This window comes from Homo sapiens, chromosome 11 (assembly GCF_000001405.40).
Source record: "Homo sapiens chromosome 11, GRCh38.p14 Primary Assembly".
Taxonomy (NCBI): Eukaryota; Metazoa; Chordata; class Mammalia; order Primates; family Hominidae; genus Homo; species Homo sapiens.
Genome location: NC_000011.10, coordinates 99,479,574 through 99,505,435, shown reverse-complemented (window position 1 = coordinate 99,505,435; position 25,862 = coordinate 99,479,574). Strand labels below are relative to the sequence as shown.

Sequence of the window (25,862 nt, the reverse complement as noted above, 5' to 3'; positions counted from 1 at the left end):
CTGTAAATTATCCTGCATACTAACTCTTTCTCTCTTCTGCAAATACTATTCAGCAAAGCAGGACAGTGAGGAAAGCAGGACAAAGAGTACTGATAATCAATGCTCTTATATCCCAAATTTGTACAGATAATTTCTACCATTAGAGATTTACTACTTTGTGTCAGCATGTCTTTTTTTAAAATGTTAACATCAAATTGGGATACCATATAAAAGCAATAAATGGTCACCCATTCTTTAATATAAATTAAACAAGTCCAGCGCTTTCTTTCAAACAGCAAGTTTACTGTATAACTTGGGCGAAATGGGAGGTATGCTGAGAGAGAAGAAAGAAAACATACTGGAACACAATTGAGTCTTGAGAAGAGGCCATCCCAGTAGACATAAAGTCAACCAGAAGTCAGAAGTGGGACAAAAAGGATCTGACTTAAGAATTTATTAAGTGGCTGCAAAATATTCAAAGACTATTTTATTTCTGCTTGCCTCTTTCCCCTGCTTTTTACATTCTCTTCTCCTTTCCTTTTTCACTTAGAATTAGGAGAGCAATAAACTATGGTTTCTGCACTCAAGAAGTTGTGGTCTGTTAAGGAAAGTAGCACCAAAGACAACTATCTGTAATGCAATTTCAAGGTCAAGGGAACTCTAATCACAAGTGGTTAAGTCTATGGAGTCAGCAAAAGAAGGTTTCAAAGAGTGAAGAATCTTTCATTTGGAGCTTGAAGAACGACTTTCTAACAATTTACTTGATGTTACAGTAACTTCCTGCTTAAAATCCAAAGTTCTATTAAAAATATATACATTCATCCACAACAAGAGTAGAAATATTAAATCAGACAACTGAATTGTTAGTGTGTCTCAAATGTAAAATTATATTTTAATTTCTTTTCTTTCTTTTTTTTTTTTTTTTTTGAGACGGAGTCTGGCTCTGTTGCCCAGGCTGGCGTGCAGTGGCTCACTGCACCCTCCGCCTCCCGGGTTCAAGCGATTCTCCTACCTCAGCCTCCCAAGTAGCTGGGGCTAAAGGCCTGTGCCACTATGCCCGGCTAATTTTTTGTACTTTAGTAGAGACGGGGTTTCACCGTGTTAGCCATGATGGTCTCGATCTCCTGCCCTCATGATGTGCCCACCTCAGCCTCCCAAAGTGCTGGGATTACAGGCATGAGCCATCACGCCCAGCCACTTTAATTTCTTTTGGATCATATAAGAGTAAAAACACTTGTCTAAACCCATGGGTGCTAGGATTATTATCAAAATATTAGTTTACATCAAAACTCTACCTTTTCTAAAAAAAGTCAGTTTGTTGATCATATTAAAATTACCTTAAATCTGTGCAGCCCCTGTTCACCACAGATTTATAATTCAAATACATTCACCTAAATATGGGTGAGAAAAATCTTGTAAGCCAAGCATCTCATTGAACAATTAACACACAAATATAAAGCAAAAAATGAATATTAAAAAGTAACATATAAATCACTGTATTACACTAAGATTTTTGTTACAAATACATTGTAATTTAAACGATGTATCTTGCTAATTTAACTCAATTTGGTTCATATTTATTGAATAATTATTAACTAAAATGGATTTTGCCATTAAAGTAGTTTAACAGAAAGGAGAAATGAGGTACAATTCCTTGCCATCATAGAATATAATATATATTACAAAAAAAATTCCATTATATGTAATAGATATAGATCTATTTATCTGTCTGTCTACCCATCTATATGTCAATTATCTGTTATATGCCTGGAACAGTATTATTAGAAGCTGCGGATGACAAAATAAAAGACCCAGGTTTTTGTCCTTCAGTACTTTGCAGTCCAACAAAGGTGAAAGATATATTAACAATCAAGTGCTATATTACAGATTTTGCCCTAAATTACATTGAGAGGCACACTTGTTTCACACTCACAGCATTGCAGAAAGCTTCCTGGAAGTGATTATGTCTGAACTGAGCTTGGGAGAATGCATAGCTCTTAGGTGGTTGAGAAACAAATGAATATGAGGCTGAGAATCTAGCATATCTTTTACAGAGAATATGATCCCCTTTTACCCAGACACGTTGCTGTCTTTTCTTGGGAACAAACTTTATTCATAGTTGTGTAGCAATAAATAAAGATGGATCACCCGGTTTTGACAACCCAAAGGGATGACAGGGTTAAAGAGGGGTTGTCTCACATTCTAGTAATTAGTGTATGCGAACATGGTGGGCATGGAATGACAAAACACATTAAGGAAGTGAAGGGAAGAAAGATGTAGAGTTACATAGGGAAAAGGTTATAGAGGAATACGCATAGTATAATCCTAGTAAGAACCATATTTGTCAAACTGCAAGTAAAAATTAAAAAGGACTTAAAAGTGCTATAAATAAAGATGGAAAGGATAGATATATAACAAATATTTAAGATATAAAACTGGTAGTGTTAGATACTCTTTTTAATATAAAAGTTTGGGAAATTGTAACCCAAGATAATTCCTAATTTTCTAGCCATGCAGAATGACTGAAATATGATGTCATTTACTAAAATGTGGACTGAAGGTGAAGAAAAATACTTTGGGAAGGAGAAGACATGTTAAAGAAAGGACAGATGAGTTTGAAGTGCCTTTGGCAAACACAGGTAAAGATGAAAAGTGAGACATCATATAGGTCTTTAGTTTACCTCTAGGAGGGTGTATGGTTTAGAAGAGTAGGGACCTAGAGCATAACTGTGCTTTTGTTGAAAATAAGTTACTGTTGGGGTGTATTAGTTCATGTTCATACTGCTATAAAAACTGCCTGAGACTGGGTAATTTATAAAGAAAAGAGGTTTAATTGACTTACAGTTCAGCATGCTTGGGGAGGTCTCAAGAAAGTTATAATCATGGAAAAAGGTGAAGGAGAAGCAAGGCACCTTCCTCTCAAGGCAGCAGAAAGAAGTGCCAAGCAAAGTTGTGGGGAAGAGCTCCTTATAAAACCATCAGATCTCCTTAGAACTCACTCACTATTATGAGAACAGCGTGGAGGAAACCACCCCCCCAACCCCCGTGATTCAATTACCTCCATCTCGTCCCTCCCTTGACACTTGTGGATTATGGGGATTACAATCCAAGCTGAGATTTGGGTGGGGACACAAAGCCTAACCATATTAAAGACACAAGAAAAAAATAGCAATATTTGAAATATTTGAAAAAGCATCGTTCTAAATAAATACAAATGAGGTAAAATGAACCCTGCTACCTGTACTGTTTTTCTCACCCTCTACAATACAGACTGTTGATAAAAACCATCCAACATAGATGTTAGCAATGGACAACATAATACAATTGAATTGTCTGTTGCAGAATTATAAAATAATGGAGGTGTTGAGGGAATACAATGTTATGAGGCCGAAGATTAGATACATGTACAATTTGTGGATTAACCTATGCAGGGGCAATTTCAGAAGAGCCATCAGCGTTGTACCTATGAATAATTCTAAGCCAGAAATCCCTGGTTGATGACCTGATTATGATGACAATCATTTACGCTAATAAAAGATGGAAAAGAAGATAACAGAATCACTAAATGCCTATGAGTCAGGCCTTCCACATTTTTAAAATCAAATACTGAAAATACTGACAGGTGAGTGTATCATCTTGGAGAATGTGAATGACATATGCAATGTCAAACAGTCAGAGAGAAAATTAGTTTTCAAACCAGGTGTGCCTTATTTCTAAGACAGAATAATTGCATTATTTTATAAATAAAGCACTAATAATATTTGCTGAGTGGGTAATTGAATGAATGGTTGAATCACTGATTCCACTAATAACAAAAATATCTTTTACCTGTGGATAAAATTCAAAACTTTTTTTGTCCTAAGAATGGGCTCACTTGCTACTGAAGAAGCAAATCAGTTCTTTTGCAACTGCAGCATCTTGCCTGATGCCAGGAGAAAGTGGCTGTGTCAGTGGTTTCTTGAAGGATGCATGTACATTTCAGGTTTACTTAGTTGGGAAAGGACTCACAGAGGAAGTAGTTATTTCAAATATTCTTTAAACTAAATGTTAGTTAAACAAATCTAGGGTTATTTAAACCTATTCTGAATGATTTGCATTAACTTCAATGTTTTCTCCCTTCATAATTGGCTTGACCTGGATCTCATTCATTTCATGAAGGAGCAGAACAACCATTACTATAAAGCCAATTGCTGAGCAGAAGCTTGTCACTGAGCGTCCCAATTATAATTCCAGCAGAATAGTAGATTCAACTCAATTCTATGAACAGCACAGAACAGCATAGGTGATTCAACCATTCATTCAATTACCCACTCAGCAAATATTTATAGTGTTTTATTTCTGACATAATGCAATCATTCTCTCTTACAAATAGAACACATACACACACAGATGCACACAAACACACACAAAACAGAGAATATATACAAATACACGTATGTATGCATGGTGCATATATCAAGGATCTTCACTGTGCACACAAATTTCTGAAGTCTTTTTTTCACAAAAGGCATACAGATTACAGGTAAGAAAAAATAACTTTCATATAGCTTTGCTAGGAGTATAAATTTTTGAAACATTTTGGAAGAAATTTGTTAATATCTAAAAATATTTAAATAAACATACTTATTGACAATCAATTTCAGTTCAGTAATCTACACAAAAAAGTCTAGATAAGTAGATAGGACATCTGCAAATAGGAATACACCCATTGCTATTATGTTTGTATGAAAACAATGCAAAATAATTCAAATATGCTTAAACAATACATACATAAATTAAGATATATACAATTCATGGAATACTATGTAGCCATGAAAAAATAATGCTATGCATATATACAGCATAATGTCCCAAATATTTTTAGGTGACATTAAATAGAAAGCAAGTTTCACACAGAATGTATAGAGAGAAGGAAAGAAAAAAGAAAAGAAAGAAAGGAAAGAAAAAGGAAATTGATAAACTTTTGGGTAGGTATAAACATTTTTCTGGAAATATACAAGGACTCTGAAAAATAGAAACGAGAGTTTAGAAAAAAATATTTTTTCCATTTTAAGCTCTTCAGATCTCATTTGTTTATCTTCCATTAAAACAAATGTGTTAGCTTTACAACTTTTTTTAAAGGTATCATTGGAATTAATTTGAGTGCCTTAAAAGAGAGGTTAATCCATTTGTTCAAATGCTTTGAGTTACTATCACTGCATATAAACAAACTCTCAGGATTTTGATATAAGATCAAGATCAGCAATAATTTGTAATACTTTCAGTGGCAAAAATCACAATTACTTTTGCGCCAGCCTAATATTTGAGTGTGTTTTGCCTCTGTTTTTTTCATTATCAAACAAATCTACTCCTATAGTCATTACACTATTTTCACTCTTCTCCAACTTTCAGATCCCCATTTCATTGGAAGCTACAACCCAGAACTCAACATGGTGAAATATTTGAAACCAGCCATTTTTTTGCCATTCTTTTTCAAAGTCAAAAATAAGCACATGATACAGAATAGTAGTCATAAATACTCTTGCCAAAGCCTATATTTTTTACGTAAGTCTAACTTTTTCTATGGCACCCAATACATAAAGAAAGAGGTAGGATTTTATTTATGTTGTGACATGAATTTCATAGGAAACACATCAAAAACAGAAAACAATATGGCCTGAAAAATATAACTGTTCAATTGATTAAACATTATAAATATCTCATTGTCAGCAAAAGGAAATATGACATGTGTCAAATAAATATCAAAATTGAGTTGACTAACATTTTCAAAATTGTTAGAATAAATAAATTTTTGTCAACAACTCGTGTAGAATTTTTATGAGACAACATGGATACTAACTAGGTGTCTTAGTCCATTTGTTCTGCTATAACAGGATACAGATACCTGAGACTGGGTAATTTATAAAGAACAGAAATTGATTTCTCGTGGTTCTGGAGGCCGGGACGCACAAGACCAAGGCACCAGCAGGTTCAGTTGTCCGGTGAGGGCTGCATCCTATGGAAGGGAGGGAGGCTGCATCTTCACATGACAGTAGGCAGAAGGGCAAGAGACTGAACGCTGCATGCAAATGCTTTCTTAAGGGCCTTAATCTTATTCATGAGGGAGAAGTCCTCATGGCCTTATAACCTCCTAAATCCTCACGTCTACATACTATCACACTGGGAACATTTGAATTTTGGAGGGGACACATTCAAACCATAGCACTAGGTATAACATTTTTGTTAAAAATTCATGAAGAACAGAAATTACTAGGAAACAGTTCACATTCCAATTTGGGAATAGTGGGGTGTTAACTATCTCAGTAGGAATAGAATTCAAAGTAGCAGTGACAAAATTTAGATATGATATCACTGACCAAAAATATCTTCTATCTGATAAAATGCTTTTGATTGAGAAAGAAAGCAGTAACTCAATAGTGCTTTAAGCCAACAAGGGGATGTATTGGCTCATGTGATTGCAAACATCAGAGGTAGAGCTGCCTTTATCATGACATCGCTGGAATTTTGCTTTACCAAACAAACCTCCATCTCCTAGATCTCCTTACTCAGTTGTGTCAGTTTCATCCTAAAATTAGTTTCCCTAATTACAAAAATGGCTGCAATGGTTTTGGATCTCACACACTCTCACTGCAATGTGCACAAGAAGAAAAATTATTTCTTTTACCTCCTTCAAGGGAAGAAGGAAGATTTTTCCCAGAAGCCCTAACTACAAACTGAGGCATCATTTTTCCCTAATAGCTTATGTATTCATTCTTAAACCCCTCACTGGTGACACAGGTATGAGATATAATGGTTGGCTTCCACAGATCAGAGCCTATTTGTATATCATTGGCAGGAAACCAAACTTATTCAAACTCCGTATCTGAATACTGTGGAGGTGGGTGGGAGTAGGGAGGAAATTCTCAAAGGAAAGTTTGGGAAAAAGGGAACATTGATGCTAGTTAGGGAGAGGAAAATGGAGGAATTAACACAATGAGAATTGCTTAAGAAAAATTACCTAGATTTTTGTAGAATGAATTAGAATAAAAAAATTAGTTGGAAACAATTACAATAACTCAGAATCAAGCTAATAAAAGCTGTGACTAACAAGTTAACTGTGGTAATGAATAGATAAACCAGAGATGGGAGGTCGAAAACTATAGCAACAAATGACACACTGACTTTACACTGAACTGCGATAATGCTATTTAGAGCTACAAAAAATGCAGTACATTTATTACACATTATACTTATTATAAAAATCAATACTGTTTAGAGATCACTATTTTGAAAGAAATTAGAGAAAAGCAACAAAAATGACAAAAAGACATGGAAAATGTAACCTATTGTCTCTCAGCCTCTAAACTCACTGTAGCTCTATGCGGACCCATTAGGTAACCATAAAGATGTTACTTGGCAGCATGTATAAAATTGGCAAGACTATACGCCTGAACACACAGTAGCTAACATGTAGAAAATGATATCTCTGGTCAAAATCAACTCTAGAAAAAATTGTCTGATGATTAGAACTTTGATGGCCTTTGGAACACTTTGGAATTTACCCTAAACAAGTCTCACCTGGAGACTTAATTTCCTAGGTAAATTTCTGAACCTATCAGTAGTGTATTTAACAAGCAGTTTTCTGATGTGAAAACGATGATTCCTAGTATGTCCCCATTTTCCTTATTCAGTAATATATTCTCTTCACATTTTCACTGTACCTGTAATCTGTCAGGTACATCCCATCTTTTACAGTGGTAGGAAGAAGTCTCCAATTTCAAACAATGAATATCTAGCAGAGTTTATTTTCAAGCTCATAATCTTAGGATTATATATTGAGTTGAGCTACATGTATGTCATTCAACTCTTTTTGAATATTCTGTTTTTATTCGTTTGTTTCCTCCCTTTTTGTTTGCTAGTTTTGTTTAGTTGTCCTGGCCCATGTTATTACTGCCCTTTCTTGGAGAGCTAGAAATAAGTTTTCTTTCTGGGTTTTGCCACTACTAAGTTCCTACAGAAAAGGGGAATTTTCTATCTGGGTTACTAGCTTTTTTGTGGCTTCAGCTGTGAGCATTTTTCTTCTTAACAGCCAGAACTTACATCAAAGGCAGTGTTCCCTTGTCTGTTCTCACAAATGGCTTCTGACTAGTTTTATCAAGACATCTAACTCATCAAAGCAATCTATTTCTCCCTAGTTTATTAGGTTTTTAGAAACATACGGGTTTACTAAATAACCTGTTTCCATAAAATTTCACAGACCAGCATTAAGTTAATATTTTTCCCATCTGGGATTGTTATATTTTTCTCTTTTGGGTCTCTAATTATTGGTATAAGTTACTTCTTTTTTAGAATGCTTTCATGTGGTATGCCCTGTTTAACACACTTTACAAATATTTTCTCTTTCAATCCTCAAGGCTGTGATATAGGAAGTGCTAACATCTACATTTCACAGATGAGTAAATTAAGCTCTATGAGAATAAAATCAAACAACTAGGAAGCACTGGAAGTGTATACTTGAATTCTGGCCGACGATATTAAAAGCCTAATTTATTTAACCAGTATGTTTTGCTTCTCTCTATTTTTCGTTCCTTTGAATTATGACTAGCAGAGGTCTACATTTAGGGTTGACTTTACACAGGCTGAAAACGTATGAAAATCCATAGTTATTTATGAATGGAGAGTGTTTTCACAACATCCAACCCCAGTTACTTACCACCTCTTGAGAAGGCATCCTAACAACTTCACAGAGATTGCTATGCATCTTTCACTCAAATACATCATCTGGACTATCTTACATGATTTTAAGTAGTAGAGAGGCAGAATTTGTTTAATGCCTGCATTTTGTTTCCTCAGCCTCTTGCTAGACAGCCACTGATCTATCTATCTGGGAATTATGTGTATGCCTTTACAAATGTTCCCATTTGCTGTTCCCATATACTTTATAGGAAACTTACATTAGGTAAGACCTGACAGTTGAACTGTATTTCTTTCAAGACATTTTTAATATGTCAAGTACTATATTAAAAATGAGATGGTGAAAAACATTCTTCTCCTTAGATTTATGAGGTCAAAGCATTTTACATTTCATCCTACCTTTCTGACCACTTAAAAAAATCATTTTCACTGCAGTGAGCCGAGATCTGGCCACTGCACTCCAGCCTGGCGACAGAACGAGACTCTGTCTCAAATAAATAAATAAAATAAATCATTTTTCATGGGTTCCTAGTCTTTGACACATCACTTAAACGTTAAACTTCACAGAGTGTGACCTCAGTCCTCGTCACGCTTCTCTATCAAAAATAGATGCATGATTACTTCTATTATTGTGATTTAATAAGCATGTATAAAGAATCACTGACTCCTAATCTCTATCTCAGCTTATTGTACTCTAAGATACTCAACAGTTCACAAAACATTTACACTTGGATATACCATAGACATTTTAAATTAATGTGCTTAAACAAAAATGTGTACCCTTTCCCACATTGCTCTTCTTTCCTTCAATACATAATTCCCATGTCAGTAAGTGGTGCATTCATCCACTCAGTCATCCAAGCCAATAAACTAAACATTTTCTTCTTTCTCAGTCTCCCAACCCAGTCACCATATTATATTGGTTTTATCTTCTATCTTTCAAGTCTCGCTCTGCACTTCTTACTACCTTAGATTAACCCTTCTCTAATTATTTTCTAGATTTGTACACCATCCTCTCAATTGCTCTTCTGGATTAAAACACTCCCCCTTCCGTAATTTATTCTCTACCCTGCTATCAAAGTGGCTTTTTTAAAGGATAAAGCTCTCTACTTCCAGAAAGCCTTCATTACATTCAGGGAAGAATGCAATCTTCATCGCATGATACACCATGGCCTTTATGCATGTGCTAGTGTGACTTTGGTATATATTTTCTCTTACAAAATTGGAGTTGATGCTCTGAAAGGCCTACTCAGAAGCCATGAAAACTGCTATTTCTCTTTCTGACTTTCTATGTGAGTGGGCCATAACAAAGACTTGCTAATTCCAGAAAGCGCCATATCTCATAAGATATGTACACGGCAAATGGCTTAGTTTTAGCAATATATGAAGGGATGATTTATTTATTTTTAATTTTTTGAGACAAAGTCTCGCTCTGTTGCCCAGGCTGGAGTGCAGTGGTGCGATCTCAGCTCTCTACAGCCTCCGCCTCCAGGGTTCAAGCTATTCTCTTGCCTCAGCCTCCTGAGTAGCTGGGATTACAGGTGTGCACCACCATACCTGGCTAATTTTTTGTATTTTTAGTAGAGACGGGGTTTCATCATGTTGGTCAGGCTGGTCTTGAACTCCTGACTTCGTGATCTGCCGCCTTAGCCTCCCAAAGTACTGGGATTACAGGCATGAGCCACCACGCCCAGCAGGGGTGATTTAAATAAAGGTATTGGAGAGATACATGTGTGGTAATTTAAAAATATTAAGACCCTGTATCAACACTTTTTAGTGTTTTTGATTTTATCTATAAAAGTTTATATTGGAAAATGACTACCTTTGCACCAATTATAATTAATTGTAACAAAATATGAGCAAGAATCTGATGTCTTTTAAAATGTGTGAAAAAAATGAACAGATACTGTTCTATCACTTTTAAAAGTAGGCTTTCATTTAAAACTCCAGTTCCCTAAGGTCAAGATTAATATCCTGGGAAGAAACAATAATTATACAGCACTGGAAAATCAAACGACACCTTTACTTGGAGCTAAAAATGAGGGCATGCCCGTCAGCTTGGTTAGCCTGCACTCGTTCAGCTATATAAGAAAGCATGTGACTCCTCACCATAGTCATCTGTGGTAAGCTAATTATCACAGACTGTCCAGGGCTAATAGCCTGGGAAAATCTATGTAAAACTTTTATTTCCAGAGTAGACTTTTTTTCCCTACAGTGTTTTTCTTCAGGCATTAAAGTTACATCAGCTTCCTGGACCCCATTACAAGAAAGTAACAAGATTTTCTTCACCTTTTAAATTCAATATCTAAAAACTGTTAGTATTTTGTGAAGCAATTATTTATCCCAATAAGGATAAAAGGTATACAGTTCAAAGGATTTAGCCTTGCTATTAAATATGTTAGACAAATGGATATATTTTAGGATTAAATCTGTTTTAGGTCTCGTAGCTTAATATAGCCTGGTGAGAAAGTAAAAGGGTATTGCAACTCCATTATTTTGGAGTTACACCTTAAATGCTGAGTAGACACATTAATCTAAAGATTAAGAGGCATTCCATCTGGGCTTTGGTTTGCCACATGGAGTTGATTACTTCTAAATTTGGTCGATTACTACGGAGTGAGTTCCATCAGATCCAGGGGAGAATTCGAAAGCTCTGACATGAATGTCTCAGAGTGGTACTACACCAAAATTAAATAAATGTGGAGGCATCTCTATAGATTTTAATTCTCAGGAAAACAACTTTCTGCAATATTTCTTTTTCGTATAATAAATGATTAACAGAAGATTAATAAAATCGGTAGCTACCAATATCAGAATGAGTATAGAATTTAAAGTTATTAAATTTAATTTTAATTCCAATTCTACATGACTATATAGATTGCTTTTGAAGTTTACTACCTTTAGTAAATCTTGGTAAAATCTTATAGAAATTTAAATATTGTATTTATAATAATGAGAGTTACAGAGCACATGTAAGGTAAGTAAATCCTTTAACTTTCTATTTGTTAAAAAATACATGGACCAATCGTTTGCTCAAATGACATTTGCTCAGGTGGAACTTCCTTGAACACCTCAATCCTCCTCTGCTAATGTCTATCCCTTTACCCTGCCTTTTCTTCTTAACATTTAATTTTACTCATATCATATTATATATGTATTTGTTTTTTTGAACCTGCACTAGAACCGGAATTTGTTTGAGTCACTGCTGTATCTCTGTCACTTAAGTTTCTCCATTAATATTTGCTAACTGAATTTATAAACTTAATTTATTTTCAAGATTTGGAATTAGACAGCATTGGCTTGAGCTACTGCTCATTATGGCAAAAGGTATAGAATTATCGATACTCAATAACTGACCTATAAAATGAAAATACACATGGCATTTATTGGAGTTGTTCGTTGGGTGCATGAAATGAGCCCAAATAAAAGTACTTTATACACTGCTTTAGCATTTACTAAGATTAATTGTAATCATTATGCTGACTTCATCTTTTGAAACTGTGACTTAAACCAACTTTGAATTCCAACACATTCTTTAGGCGATTTTGTCTTCAAAAAGAAAGAAACAAACTTAACTATTTCAGATAATTTTTGTAAAACTTAAATATCATCAACTATATAAGTTAAAATATAAGTTAAAAATACAAACAAAGCGATGGGGTTCAGGACATGCTATCTCAGAATATGGTGCCTGGGCATTTGAGGTAGCAGTAGAAGCAGGAAGGTCTTTCAAACAGTCTCCTGCATTTCTCCCCTGAAACAAACCATTAAAGAATTATCTGACCTTCCTTTAAAGGAGTCCATAAGTTACTCATTCCAGAGGGACTTTTCCTGTTCCCAGAGAAAAACACGTCCTCATCTCTGAACTGAAGACATAAAGATGCCAAGAAGAATCTGAACAAACGGTCCTCACGGTGTCCCCTCTTCATTTTATTACCATTAGACCATATCCATTTTGTTCATTCACAGTTCTGCATGCCTGGCTCCCCTTCCTCAAATCCAAGCATAAAAATATACAGCTTTTCCTGTTTCTTTGAGTCTTCATTTTGAATAACCTGTGTCATGTAAACATGACATTGAATGAATTTGTTATGTTTTTCTCTTGTTAATGTGTCTTTTGGTTATAGGGGTCTCAGCAATGACCCTTGCAATGGGTAAGGAAAAGATCTTACTTTTTCTCCCCTATACAGAACCAAACCAAATTTTAAAATTAATAGTAATAATAAACTAGATTCTCAACTATCACAGCGCTATAGCACTAATCACCTTCCTTTGAGGTATATCTTTTCAGAAGATTTTAGCATATGAATATGTTATATTAGTCATCACAAAAAGCTACAAAGAAAAAAGAATGCTGAGGTAAACATGAGCTTGGATTCCTGAGAAAGAAAAAATAAATTCTTCCAGTTTAAAGGCCTGAAGGAAGCAAGATTGGAAGATTGGGAGTAAGGTCTATTAAAGAGGTAATTGATATGGCTATTGTCACAAAATATGTAGATCTTTGTTTTTCATAATGATCACCAGAGAGCATCAACTTACAGAGGAGACTTTTAACGAAGAATGAACATGACCCGTCACATAAATGTCAGCCAACATGTCTTCACCCCACCCATCCTGCAATGTTTGAACAATGGGCCATGAACAAAGTATCTTTGTTGGCAGGAATAGCGTGAACCCAACAGATGGCTCCCCTCAACAAAGATAATGTATCTACTGCACTGCTTGGTGTTCTGAATTTCCAACAACAGATACTAAAAATGAGCCTTCAACAGAGCACAATTCCTTGCAGGAATCAGGCTTCAAGTTGGTTATATGACTTCTTCTACCCAGGTTGGGACAGCTCTTTAACAGCTTAAAACCTCTTCAGGATAATGATTTATCTTTCCTTCCTGTGATTCCTACTTGCACCACCATCCAAGGACTTACAAAATATTTTATCTTTTAATATGCAATACCACATGGCACTGCATTAGACCAAGGGAACCATTTTCTGACAAAGCAGCTATGATCATAGGCACATGAAAGCAAAATGTACTGGTGATTTCATGTTCCTCATTGAGACAGTCAGCCTAATAGTTAGATAACTGGCCTGGTAAAGCCTCAGTTAAGAGTCCTTCTCAAGGAAATATGCAACAGAATTGAAATGCTATGCTTCTGGATGTATATTCGATGAATCATTAATTAATATAATCCCAATAGCATATTGTCTCAGAAACAATGGGTAGAAACAGGATTGGTCCCTCCTACCTTAACTGTCAGTATCCACCTTGTGAAATTTGTGTGTCTCCTACTCTGGAAATCTCAGGCTCTTCTATGCTAGAGGTCTGCTTACTAGGGAATAAATACTTCCACCGGGAGTCAATAAGGATTCCTCTGATCATTAACCTCCGAATATAATCAATTCGCCTTTAGTCCGTTTTGACAGTATGTTAGCAATCTTATTACTATGAAAACTAGCCTTGTTGCTCTGAAGACAAGAAAATAGGAATAAGGAGAAAGACTGGAACCCAGGGAATTCTCTGGCACAACTCTTAGCACTACCCTGCCTGGCCTGCTGAACCACTATATGGGAATTCCAGCCAACACGGCCTAACAAATACATGGGAATGATTGATTGAATTTGTATCCCCAATATCCCCTTCTTTGCTTGGAAACTAAAGGAGTACATTGTTCTCACAACTATGGAGACCCCAGATTACAGTATGGAAGCCAGCTGTGGAGGGCAGTAGTGTATCCGTGCTGTGCTATCTGGAATATAGTATTCTTCCCACATATGCAACTTGAGCTCTCCCAGGCCTTACCAGTATTCTGTTTTAGCTGTCCCAATAGTGGTTAGATCTCGGTGAGCTCTGAGTAACCCCACACAAGGGCAACTTCAACAACTGTGCCTCATGCCTGCAGCTCCTGCCCAGAGGATTCCCTAAGGATGGCTCCATGGGACTCAGAAGTATTTGGGAGTTAACACCCAGTGGAGCAAAACTTTTATCAATGAGAGATAGGAAACCATGGATAAACTGTTCCACTTCACTCACCACATGGTGGCCATCCCATATAAACTGAGAAGCAGTAAATTTCTGGTTTCTTTGGGGACATCCTAAGGCATCATGCAATCAGCAGGCAGCTTGCTAATACAGCCTCATGTTGGCTGTCCCTCCTAACCTACTTCACCTTCTGAGCCTCACTTCTACTCACTGGGATCACACTCCCTAATAAGTAACAGTAACTAAGCACTTTGTCTCAGGCTACAATTTCTGAGGAACGCACACTGAAAAATAATCTATTATTTGACTGCATATTTACAAAGTAAGAAGAGTACACTAAAAGTGAATTGTGAGACACTGGTATTCTCCACTAAATAATTATGTATGGACTTTATGGTCAAATAAAAATTATGTTTGTAAGCAGATTACTTTGTTCTCCCTCAATAATGAATTTATGTAATAAACTACAGAATCATGGTGTGGAGAAAAAAAATTATGTAATAACTTAATGTCCAAATGATGAACACCTAAATTATGCTTCTTGAGTTGGTCAAAATTGGTGAATAATTGTCTGAATAATTGTCAAATTTAGCACTTCTTTCTTATAATATTATTAAGACTAATTAATATCACAGAATGACATTATTATTTGTAAGGTATAAGCATATTAAATATAAGTCCCCAATACATTTTTGAAATAAAACTTAGTAATTCTGTTTCTGTGAAGTCATCATATTACTAAATAAGAAATCTAAGAAGTGAAATAACGTGTCTGAATTCTAGGGGTGAATATGTCCAGATATAATAAAAGAGTTAAATGGATGTTAAACATTAAAATTTAAGATCAAGGCACTTGTTTCAATCCCCCATAATATGCAAAAGTATTTATCTTCCTTTTTTAAATGTTTTCCTATTTTACATTCAATCTCTCTCTTTGTCTCTCTCTGTCTGTCTTTCCCTCTCACTTTCACTCTCACTTTTGCTCTTTCATCACTTGCTCTCCCACATTCTCCCTGCAAGAGGTCTGCAGTAGGAATATGATAACATCTGTACTTTCCTGAATTCTTTCTATGGTGTACCAACTCCTGGCAGACTCCACGCTACAGAATGGATATCTTGCTTCACAATTCATAAATATTACCTTAGTCATATCCCTGTTATGTTAAAATAATACATAGACTCTATAATTTAATAGGGACTCCAAGTGACAACAAATTATCTCAGATATTAAGCCTTCATTAATCACAGGTGTCAGTATTAGCAAATAAAGCAATGCTGAGATTCCTTAAAGCCAGGAACCACTAGAGAGAATGAGAAGTTAAAATATATATATGACAAAATCAGATACTGTTAAGAGTAAGCCTGGTGCTGTAAAATACTAAATGGTGCTCTAAATCTTTAGGGGAATCATAGTTCATTGTTTTAACAGCTTCACTTTGTCATGTTTACATGCTTATATACCAGAATAAATAACGCTCTATTGCATTTGAAGGCTGATTTTTATCCAGTTACATGACTCTCTAGAGTAATGCAAACTCACCTGAATGCCACTTAAACTACTTTTTGGCTGAGTTACCTGTAATTTAGCAAGTTGACTAAAAAGACAGCATTTGGCACTTGTATGGCCTGAAAGAAGTGTCTCTAAATCTAGAAAACTCCAAACGGAAAGAAAGTAATCAATTGTACAAATGCAATAAAGGATAAAGAGAAAAGAAAAGCAAGGGTATTTATTTTTTAGAAAAAAATAGTATTTTTTTTTTATCCTTGGCAAATCATAGAGTAGGCTCTCTTGAGATCTTCTGCTCTTGTTTGATAGACGCGATAGCACATAGCATTCTATTTAGATTCAAAAATAGTAGTCTAATACTTTCTGTTTGCTTTTCATGCTAAAACAAGACTTCTAGTATTCAGAACAATGCTCACTTTCCCCTCTTTTTCAGTATCTTTCAATGAACTCCCACAAACATTTTTGTTAATTACATGACTAATCCTCCAAGGAGAAGCAATCTATCCTGACCCAGCATGTGGCAAAGTTAGAATGTGTGGAGTTTTGGTAAAATGATTGCATAGATTCTCATCAATTTTGTTTTCTCTTGCAGTGTATACAGGAAGATTACATTTTCCACAATTCTATGTAATTAAATTGGTACACTATAACTAGTTCTGGATGCAGACAGAATGTAGAAAGTGATGATACACCCAACTTTTCTCTTGGCCCTTAGAATTTCTTGCAAGATTCTTGGTTGAAGACCTAGCCTCCATACTAGTGGTTAGCAGCAAAGATTTTGAGATAAGAAAGCCACACAGTAGAAGGATTCTGGAGCCTGGAAGTTCTTAAAAATGGTGGCTAATGTCTGTAAACCCAGCACTTTGGGAGGCCAAGACAGGCAGATCACGAGGTCAGGAGTTCGAGACCAGCCTGACCAACATGGTGAAACCCCGTCTCTACTAAAAATACAAAAATTAGCCGGCCATGGTGGTGCATGCCTATAGTTGCAGCTACTCAGGAGGCTGAGGCAGGAAAATCGCTTGAACCCAGGAGATGGAGGTTCCAGTGAGCCGAGATCGCGCCACTGCACTCCAGCCTGGACGACAGAGCGAGACTCCATGTCAAAAAAGAGGAAAAAAAAAAAAAAAAAAAAACTTCTTGGAGATTCTTAGAAGAGATTCTTCACTAGCATCAGATGGGAAAGTAAGAAAAAATAAATAAATAAGAAATAATCTTTCATTTGATTAATCCCTCTGGCATTTGGAAATTGTTCATGATAGCAGCTAATGCAAAATATCTTTATTATTGTAGGATTAAATACAATGATCCTAGAGATCAAATATAATTAACTTATAATTAGTTATATTTACTGTGGGATAAATCTTCTCCCACTCTTTCATAACATTTGAGTAAGCCCTCTTGGCTATGCAAGTATGTGGCACGTACAAACTCATTTAGGTGACTGGGAGAGAACTTATTCTTAACTCATTAAAAGTTGCCTTAATTTATATATTTTGTTATAAGGAGCTGGTGTTTGGAGAAGCAATAGGCAAATTTTCATAGGATTAAAGGAGTCTCCTGGTTGAAAAGAAATTAAGACATTCTTGATATTTCATGTTTTTAGGTTTTGTTTATGTGAAGAATGGAGATGATCCAAGTGATGTCTGCTAGAAGGAAAGTGTATTAGGCACACTGAAATGAAACACAACATAAGGAAATAAGAAGAACTCTTCATGAGGATGTTTTCATCAAAGACTATTACGTTTGATTTTGTAAATTCTTCTACAGGGATGTCTGGCTTCCCAGGTTATAAGTGAATATTTGCATTTGCCTCATCCCTACTCTCATCCAACATTTATGCACTGATAAGATCTTGGCATCAGACAAGAAGCATCTTATTTGTGACAATTTCACTGCAGTGGCCTGCTTTATTACATAAGTAATCACAGTGCAGAAGCCAGAAAAAAAGCATGGTTCCTAGGAATTCATCAGTTTCCTTTGTTGAATAAATTGTCATACTGGATCCTTCTTCTGATGGTCTTCAGGTTCACACTTACATCCTACCCTTTAATTAATGTGTCAGCCTTGCTGTATAGTCACTTCACCTTAAAACGTGGTGGACACGTGATGGTAACACTCAGTTCTCCACTTTAACATGCAGAACCAAACTAAATGTCTTCTGTGATCTGTCAGAACCTATGTAGAACTTAGGTACTTTCTCGACCTTCTCTCTGCCAACATCTATTTACTTGGCACTTTTACTCTAATATGGCCAACCATGTTGTTGCAGTGTGTTCTTTCAGGCTGACTCTTCCAAAAATACCAGAGGAAAAGACAGATGCAGTTCCTATGTCCCCTTAAATTACCTTATTTGGGGATTGTATAATATAGCTCACTGTCTATAAGCCTTATTTCCCATCATTTTATAGCCAATAAAAAATTTTTCTAATCTCTTTTGTGTAGTAAGAAAATAGATCTATGTCATCATTCCTTTCCCACTTTATAACTTATGGTTAACCTCTGCACTCTGTTTCAAAAGCCAATATTGATCAAAGTAATGCTTTTGAAGTTAAGATGACAACAACAACAATGCAAAAATCAACAGTCCAGTTTTTGCATTTGAAAGAAATAGTTTCTAAAACTCTTGAAAATCTAAACTACATTTTTAGGTTTTATTTTCACTGAGTTCTTTTGTGTTTTATATTTCAATTTTACAGTTAACTGAAAAATAATCATCACTTTAATTCATATTAAACCATCATTTACTCACACTAATTTACATTAAATAAATTGTTCTAAAATGGAATAATATACTGACTATTATCTAAACAAATTTAACTGTTCTAAAATGGAATAATATACTGACTATTATCTAAACAAATTTCTGGGAACCCATTATTTGTTATGCACTATGCTTGGATACAAAGATTTAGGGAATAAACAATACACAGTATGAGCTTTTCAAAGCTTACTTTTCCAGGTAGAGACATAAGCATAGACAAAAGTATAATGCATAATGGAAATATTATTATATAATCATGGCAGCAAGTCAGAGTATCTAAATTAGTTTATTAAAAGTTGATATGCTCTATGAAAGACATCAACTTGGTCTAGACATATCTGAAAAAGATTAAAGCAGGCATTTTAAACAAATACTATTAACTGAATTGTACTCATAAAAGCAGAAAAGACCAAATAAATTATAAGAATGAACTAAAATACTTCCTCAACGTATTATACAGTAAAAATAAACTCTCTGGGAAAGAGAAAATAGGCAAAAATTGTAGAATTCAACAGCAGGATAACTGAGCCCAGAAGATTCATATTAATTGTAAGCGTATTGTATAGAAACAGAGACAAAACAATTTTTGTAATTATTAGTCCATGATTACAAAGAAAGGTTTTTATAGCTTTTCCAAACCAAGTAAATGAAAACCAATTGCTTGATTGCCTACTATGAATGAATACATTGAGTATTATACTCATTACCTCTCCGTAATTTTAGAGTGGAAATAAAGAATACTGTGAGAAATTTCATGGTTGTAAAGATGTCCAAACTATAAATTGGACATAATAATATTAAGACAGAAATTCAGGGGTTTTTTTTGTCTGTTTGCATTTTCAAGTTTAAATCATTCTGATTAAACAGAGAAAATCTCATTTTATCCTAGTATATATTTTTATTCCGCAGGATGCTTTTATTAATCAATAAACTTTAGAGCATTTTTAGGTTCACAGTAAAATTAATTACAGAGTTTAGAGAGTTCCTTTATGTCCCCTGTCCTCACACATGTACAACCTTCTGTATTGTCAACATCCCAAAACACAATGGTACATATGTTACAATTGATGAGCCTATACTGACAAATCATTATGTCCAAAGATCATTATTTACATTACAGTTCACTTTTAGTATTGTACATTCTGTGGCTTTTGAAAAATATATAATGACACATAGTTACCACTTTAGTAACATATAGAATAGTTCTATTCCCCTAAAATCCTTTGTGCTCTGCCTATTTATCTCTCTCTCCCCACTAATCCATGGAAATCACTTCCCTTTTTTTTTTAAACAATTTTGGGGGGTTTTTGCTTTTTTAATTTTCAAAAATGTTTCATTGACTCATAATGTACATATTTATGGGGTCAATGGCGATGTTGAAATAAATGTAATGTCTAGTGATCAGATCAGAATAATTAGCATATCCATCAAATATTTACCATTTCTTTATGTTGGGAGCATTCAATATCCTCCTTCTAGCTATTTGAAACTATGTATTATTGTTAACTATAGTCATCCTACAGAGCTACAGGACACTAACCTATTCCTCCTATCTAGCTGTAACAAATATCTTGTGTATCCTTTAACAAATCTCTCCCAATGCTCCCCTCTCCCCGGCCCTTCCCAATCTCTAGTATCCTCTGTTCTACTTTTTACTTCTATGAGATAAAGTGTTTTGTTGTTGTTGTTTGTATGTGTTTTTGCTTCCACATATGAATGTGAATGAGAACAGGTGGTGTTTAACTTTCTGTTCCAGGCTTATTTCTTCATAATGTCTTCAGTTCCATTCGTGTAACAGAGAATGATTATTTCACCTTTTTTTTTTGTAGCTGACTAGTATTCTATGGTGTAATACACAACATTTTCCTTATTCATTCATCCATTGTTGGACACCTTGGTTGTCTAATAATGAACATAAATGGGTTGTTGTGAATAATACCATAATAAACATAGAGCTGTAGATGTCTTTTGGATGTACTGATTACTTTCCTTTGAATAAATACCCAGTAGTGGCATTGCTAGATCAAATGGTAACACTGTTTATAGTTTTTCTGAGGAATTTTCATGCTATTCTCCGTAGTGGCTGTAGTAGTTTACATTCCCATCAACAGTGTATGAGAGTTTCCTTCTCTCCACATCCTCACCAGCGTTTGTTATTTTTTGTCTTTTGGATAAATGCTATTCTAGTAGGGGTGAGATGATACCTCATTGTGGTTTTGATTTGCATTTCCCTGATGACTGGTGTTGTTGAGCTTTTTTTTCATATATTTGTTGGCCATTTGTATATCTTAAGAAATGTATATTCAGATAACTCATACTTTTTAAATTGTATTGTGTTTTTTTGTTTTTATTTTTTGCTTTTGAGCTTTTTGAGTTCTTTGTATATTCTGGGTATTAATCCTCGTCAGATCATTGTTATTTCATTCTATTGACCGTTTCCTTTGTTGTGTAGACGTTTTTTAGTTAGATATAGTCCCATTTGTTTATTTTTGCTTTTGTTGCCTGTGCTTTGAGGTCTTATCATCAAATCTTTTTTCAGACTAATGTCCTAAAGCATTTCACGTGTGTTTTCTTCTACTAGTTTTACAGTTTGGGGTCTTATATTTAGGCCTTTTATTTATTTTGAGTTAATTTTTGTATAGGGTGAGAAGGCAGGGATCTAGTTTAATTCTTCTGCATATGGATATCTACTTTTAGCACCATTTACTGAAGAGACTGTGCTTAGCCCAGTTTATGTTCTTGGTACTCTTGCTTTGACTATTTGTCACCTTTTATGCTTCTATACTAATTTTAGCTTCTTTTTTTTCTATTTCTGTGGAAAATGTCATTAGAGCACACCCCCGCAACCCCACAACCCTGGCCAACCAGAAGTGTCAGGAGACCATCAGGTGATGGTCAGGTGGTTGCTACGCTGTCTCACTAAAATAATAATTGGTCACAGCTGGCACCAGGGAGGCTCCTAATAGATACAAACACCTGAAAATGGTGAGCAGCAGCTTCCCAATAAAATCTCCGGAGTTGGGTGAGTGGGCTCAAGAATGTGCACTAAGAGACAAAATCGTGGAGTTTAACTGGTATAGGACCTTCTTCTAGGAGCACTCAACTGGTAAGGGAAAAATGCCTCAAGTGAGCATGCGCACAACTCCAGTAAACACATTGTTGACACTGTGCATGAGACCCCTCTCAAGTACTAGCAGGCCACTGCGCACGAAGAATGGCAATGTATAAAACCCCAAGTCAAAGGTCAAACTGTGTGCTTGAATTTCTCAAGTTGCCAGCTTGGCCCTCTTCCAAGTGCACTTTACTTCCTTTTGTTTCTGTTCTAAAACTTTTTTTTTTTTTTTTTTTTTTTTTTTTGAGAAGGAGTCTCACTCTGTTGCCAGGCTGGAGTGCAGTGGCGCGATCTCGGCTCACTGCAAGCTCCACCTCCCGGGTTCACGCCATTCTCCTGCCTCAGCCTCCCCAGTAGCTGGGACTACTGGCACGGGCCACCCCACGCCCAGCTAATTTTTGTATTTTTAGTAGAGACAGGCTTTAACCATATTGGCCAAGATGGCCTCGGTCTCTTGATCTAGTGATCCACCCGCCTCAGTATTTGAGTTTTAAGAGTTATTTTTGTATTTTGGATAGGAGTCGTTTAGCATACGTGTTTTTTTGCAAATATTTAATCCCAGTCTTGACTTCTCATTTTTTGACATTATCTTTCACAGAGTAAAAGATTTTAATTTTAGTGAAGTTCCGGGTATTAATTATTTCTTTCATGGAACATGCCTTTGGTGTTCTGTCTAAATAAGTTGGTGCCATACCCAAGTTCTTCTAGGTTTTCTCCTACGTTATCTTCTAGGATTTTTATAGTTTGGGATTTTGCATTTAGGTCTATGACCTATTTTGAAAAGCGATTTCGGTTTTTATTTCAAGAAAACAATTGATTTTATTAAATATTTAAAAAGTAAATGCAATATTTCCATTTACTGAAAAGTCACATTTCACATTTGAAAACATTAAGAACAAAAAGCAACTGACTAAATTCACAAGTTACATACAAAAGTAACTCTTCTGGGTTTTTGAAATTTAAGTTTAAATATAACTTATTATTCAACTGTTACAGATCCAACATAGATACAAATGCTAAAATGATACTAGTTGAGAAGCTAACACTAAAGTTTGCACTATAATTTCTTTATCATTTAAAGCAATGTAGAATTACCTTTCTGTTCTTTGCAGCTTTCAAAAATGTGTATCTTGTCTATGGGAAAATAATAATTTTTATTAAAAGTAGCATTTTGCCTAACTTGTTTGGTTACATACTTAATAGGAATCATCTTTCATTGCATCCCTTTGCTCAGTATCTGAAAGGGAAAGGTATAGCGTACTAATTCATATGTTCAGTTCATAGGGAGATTAATAATGCATTTTTATTGAATTTTTATTCCCCTTAAAACCCTCAAAATTTACCTTTTCCTTTATATGCAATCACTGGGAATTTCAGACTCAAAATATTATGTTAGGGATGTTGAACCTTAGCAAGGTATCAATTTATTCATTAATTCTTAAATCATTCTTATAACATTTATTGTGTGCTGATTATGTTCTTATTACACAAAATTTAAGAAAATATCATCTCTTCCCTAAACAATCACCTCCAAGGAGATATAGAAATATAACAGTATAATTGCAGTACAGAGAATCTTGACTATGGTAGGCTTAGCTACAGAATATACTTCTGGCACAGGGGAGAAAATAATTAGCTCTTGGAGGAATTAAAAAGATAAGTATTTAGACTGAGTCTTGAAAACCAAATGTATTCATTCAGGTGGGGAAGTAAGGTGGTTGTCAACACTTAGAGAAGGAAATCACGGGGGAGCTTGAAGCAATAAGCAGGGCCAACTCCTGAAGAGTCTTTTATTCCGTGATAATGAATTTGTAGGTAATACTGAGTGATTAAGTTGTTTTAATATTTTACTCAGTGGAATAACAGCATCAGCTTTGTATTTTAAAAGATTTCTCACATAATCAGCAAATATATTCATTAAAAGTCAATGTATTTTACTGATCACCAGTGCAGGATGCTAGGGATACAACAGTGAATAAGGGAAAAGGACTATGATTGGAGAAAAACAGAACAAAAACAAAATTATTAGAGGCTCAGAAAATAGAGCACTCTAATATATTTTGTGTAAGATTTGGTTGCTTAAGAACATATTAAAAAGACAAATATTTTGATATTAATGGTGTCAGGCTTTAATTAGCATGATATGATGTAGATAATTGTGAGAAAATATCCTGAGATAAAGAAAAGTAATATTCCAAAGATGAAAATTTTAAAAAGGCACTAGAATTACTGCTTACTGAAGACCCAGTGGCAAGAACCTTTGAATGCAGATATCCAGTAGGAACTAAAACAATCCTTGCAATATTCTTTTTTTTTTAAATGCCAATCCTCTGTGGAACTGAGATATAGGATGGTATAGGCATAATTTTCAACCCAGTCTCATCACTATAGACTGCAGTAAGCTGAGTGAGAGTAGGTGCACATTCTTCTCAAAAGTTTCAAGGACATATGCAAGTGAATTTCGTGGTTATCTTAGATACACAATATCCCCAATGAATTCTCATTGAATCGAAAACCATCCTCTTCTTTCCATAGAACATTCTTTTAGAACTTAGTAGGGTAAAAGATGCCCTGATGTTGAATGAGGACTGTTGATCATTAGTTAGGTAAGCCACAGAAATACCTCATGGCCTGTAACATATCAGGTCCTAATGTGAGTTGGATAGACACTAGGGGCTAGTTCACAGGTAGAAAAAACAAAACAAAAAAAATGACTATACATATTAGAAGTTATGAATTTCAATAGTAACAGAAGTTACATAGATACACTCTAGATGTTAGGAAACAGGTTGTAAAGCAAAGATTGTAGAATAAACATATAGTGAATCTCAAGAATATGCAAACATTCAAGAATCAGGTAAAATTAATAGCAAATGTTTATATGATGTTCATAATTATTCCAGCCATTGTTCCATATGTTCTACAGATATTTAGTCATTTAAGCCTTACAATAATCTTATGAATTTGATAATTCTGATGTCCCAGTTTTACAGATAAGGAAACAGGTCCCCAGAGATCAAATATCCTGCCAAAGATGCCATTGAAAGCCAGTGAAACAGCTGTCCGACACCAGAGCCTATACTCTTTACCTGACCAAATGTTGGCTACTTACTGGCAGTTCCACAGGAGAGAAAGTTTATCATTTCAAGAAGCAAAACTGGCATAGGAAAGGCATGGAGAAGATAATAAAAGGAGAGAACAAGTATTTAATTTGTTGTAGAGCATATTTTATATTAATAGGTGTACTTCCACAGACAACTAACACTCCATCATATAGTTAATATGTACCAGAAAAAATCATGCTTACTTACAACCAGCATCAAAGATATCACAAATCTGATTAAAGTTGAATAGCAACAACCTTAAATGCCATCTGTTATCTATATTTTGTATCTCTACTTTTAGCCAATGAAACTGTTTTGTCTTGTAATAAAGGGTTTAGCTTTTTTTCTTTCTTTTTATGCCATTGGGAATAAATTTGGTCTAATAGGTCTTTATCCAGTTCTGATAAGAAAAATAAACTAAACTGGACAAAAAAAAATAAACAGCTGTGAAAATTAAATGTGTCAGCCAACTAAAATTTTCATCAGACCATTTATAAAATGTTTTTTTTTCTTTACCTCAAAACATATACATCTGTTGCTGGAGGTGAAAATTAATAAAATTTTGTTTTTTAAATTTAATTAAGTAGAGTATTATTACACATATTTAGAGAACCGGAGCCTGTTCCATCACTTAAAAACTTTAAGAGAAGATTTCAAAACATTTAACCCATTAAAAGTGGTATTTTAGCTTTATGCCAAATGGCTTGGTATGATGTATTTCTAGATTTAAAATGCAAAGGTA

General features: G+C 34.9%; 1 protein-coding gene across 11 annotated transcripts in view, besides 1 other annotated feature; it reads right to left on the bottom strand.

Annotated features, from left to right (window-relative positions):
- CNTN5 (contactin 5) overlaps positions 1-25,862 on the bottom strand; it is a 1,337,937-nt gene that overhangs the window by 853,450 nt on the left and 458,625 nt on the right. The window lies entirely within an intron of this gene.
- Positions 23,966-24,135: an enhancer, noted in NCBI's record as "experimental_22279 CRE fragment used in MPRA reporter constructs". NCBI's record gives its function as "activates a minimal promoter by MPRAs in K562 erythroleukemia cells, with activity observed for the non-introgressed 11:99352117 variant allele {active_cell/tissue: K562}" and the evidence as "EXISTENCE:reporter gene assay evidence [ECO:0000049][PMID:34662402]".